The sequence below is a fragment of the Homo sapiens genome, chromosome 19 (assembly GCF_000001405.40).
Source record: "Homo sapiens chromosome 19, GRCh38.p14 Primary Assembly".
NCBI classification, from domain to species: domain Eukaryota; kingdom Metazoa; phylum Chordata; class Mammalia; order Primates; family Hominidae; genus Homo; species Homo sapiens.
In genome coordinates, this window is record NC_000019.10 from 31635995 (window position 1) to 31638834 (window position 2840).

Here is a 2840-nt window from a genome sequence, read left to right on the forward strand (position 1 = left end):
CCCTCCTCGTCCACGTTCTCTACTGCCCGGCTTGTTAGCTCAATCAGAATAGGGACAGTTTTATTTCGTAATCAGGACTGGTTTTTATTGTTGTCATTTGTGTGATGTTTTTGTTATTGCTGATAGAACAGTATTTATGCATTTGGGATTGTATTAATGATTTTAAGAAAGGCTAGGACAAGACATGGTTCTATAAGTAAAATGCTTTTAAAAGTTTTATTTTGTGTGATAATTTAAATCATAGAAGCATTCATTTATTTGCCTATCTTTTTTCTTTTTTTTGAAACAGGGTCTCACTCTGTTGCTCCGTTGCCCAGGCCGGAGTACAATGGTGTGATCATAGCTCACTGCAGCCTCAAATTCCTGGGTTCACGCAATCCCCCTGCCTCAGCCTCCTTAGTAGCTGGGAATACAAGCATATGCCACCATGCATGGTTAATTAAAAAATAATAATAATTGTAGAGTCAGGGGTCTTGCTCTGTTACCCAGGCTGTTTTGAACTCCTGGCCTCAAGCATTCCTTTTGCCTGGGCATCCAAAAGTTCTGGGATGACAGGCATGTGGCACCATGCCTGGCCTATTTGCCTGTCCTCTTATTGCAAAGCCAAGTCTTCTTCTAGGCTTATGGGTCTGCTGATTGGTGTTTCAGGCACTCTTTCTTATATAAACCACAACCATAATACATAACCTACAAAATTATTACAGTATCTTCAAAGGGGATAAAAAAGATCCTCACAAGGCAAAATAAGTGTGAAATTCCTCCAGATTTTTGGGGCCAGTCTCTATCTCTTACATTTGCTTCTCACACCTAATTTTCTACCAGTCTGCATTGAATCTTTACAAAGCACCACATCTAGTTCTCATAGACACCACTACGTCCTTTACACTCTTATCACATCTGAGCAGCATATATATATAATATATATATATTATATATATAATATATATATTATATATATATATTATATATATAATATATATATATTATATATATATTATATATATATTATATATATATTATATATATATATATTTGTTGTTGTTGTTGTTGTTCTTTTTTGAGACAGAGTCTCACACTGTCAGCAGGGCTGGAGTGCAATGGCGTGATCTCGGCTCACTGCAACCTCCGCCTCCTGGGTTCAAGCGATTCTCCTGCCTCAGCTTCCCAAGTAGCTGGGATTACAGGCGCCTGCCACCAAGTCCAGCTAAATTTTTGTATTTTTAGTAGAGACAGGGTTTCACTATGTTGGCCAGGCTGGTCTCAAACTCCTGACCTCGTGATCCACCCACCTCAGCCTCCCAAAGTGCTGGGATTACAGGCGTGAGCCACTGTGCCCGGCCAATATTTTCTTATATGACATACTTACAATAACAAGTACAGTTGACAGATTCTGATTCTTGGTAAACATACAACGTGTGACTGGTGGGAACAGAAGTGTGCAGACATTCTAGAGTTTGGAATACTTATGGGAGCCCTAAATATCAGTTGCGATTTTACAGAAGGAACAGAGTGTATCTGTTATGTTGGTTAAGTTGAGCTAGTCTGTTGAGTTGGTTATGCATGGACCAAGCCAAGAATCTTGGTTGTGTTACACTTAGACCTGGGTTCAAATCCTGGCTCTGAGACATTGGAAAAGTTAGCTTCTAGATCTAAGCTTCAATTTTGGCTGGGTGCAGTGACTCACACCTATAATCCCAGCACCTTGGGAAGCTGAGGTGGGAAGATCACTTGAGGCCAGGAGTTCGAAACCAGCCTGGTCAACATAGCAACACCCCATCTCTACAAAAGAAAAATCAAACTTAAAACATTAGCCAGGAATGGTGGCCTGCAGTCCCAGCTACTTGCAAGGCTAAGGTGGGAGGATTTCTTGAGCCCAGGAAGTTGAGGCAGCAGCAAGCAGTCATCTCACCACTGCACTCCAGCTTGGGCGACCCAAGAGTGAGACCCTGTTTCAAAAAATAATCATCATCATAATAATAAGCTTCAATTTCCTCATCTGTAAAGTGAGGGCAGAAATGGCTCCATAGCATAGCAAAGTTGTCAAGAGATTAAGTTAGATGGTGCCTGTAAAGTGTTTAATACAAGATCTGGCACATGGGAGGTGTTCAAAATAAGTAAGCGCTGCGAGTACTGCTGCTGGTGGTTCCATTTTATTCTCAATGTGGTAAAATACACATAACGTAAAGTTTACCATCTTAACCATTTTTCAGCTTGCAGCTCAGTAGTGGTAAGTGAATTCATGTTGTGCAGCCAACCTCCAGAACGCTCTTCATCTTGCAAAACTGAAACTCAATACTGATTAAACAACACCTCTGCATTCTCTCCTGGTCCCCAGCCCCTAGCAACCCAATCACGCCCATTTTTGACCCTGTAACTATTGTTTCTGCCATCCTGCATTTCTTGTTACTCTGTGAGTCCCTCCCATTCAAGCCACCAGAGGCTCATTGCCTCAAAGAAGAGGTGGGCTAACAGAAAAGAGAAAAATAACTCTCTTAGGAGCTTTCACGTCTCAAGCCCAAGCCTGGAGGAGTAGAGAACAATATGATTGATCAGTGCAAGGTTTCCTCCTCCAGAGACTAAACGAATGCAGTGGAGGGAAGAAGAGGAAAAGGAAATAAAAAGCTTAGGTGCTGGTGGGTCCCCAAGAAGGGCCTGGTACTCAGCTATCCCTGGGATTGAGCCCGAGCAAGAAGATAAGAATATTTGCAGGCTACCCAAGCAGGAATGAGGCACTACCCAGCAAAGACACAACACTGGACAGAGTGATGACCTACTATGGGGACCACACCACCCTAGTCCTAAAGACACCTTGTCATTATGTAAGATTCCAGGAAAATCTA

The 2840-nt window shown here is 42.0% G+C and overlaps 1 annotated feature.

The window, feature by feature from the left end:
• Positions 2282 to 2447: a silencer, noted in NCBI's record as "fragment chr19:32129182-32129347 (GRCh37/hg19 assembly coordinates)". NCBI's record gives its function as "represses an EF-1alpha promoter that drives an FKBP-Casp9 reporter gene in an ReSE screen in both phorbol 12-myristate 13-acetate-treated (for megakaryocytic differentiation) and untreated K562 erythroleukemia cells {active_cell/tissue: K562 | K562(+PMA)}" and the evidence as "EXISTENCE:reporter gene assay evidence [ECO:0000049][PMID:32094911]".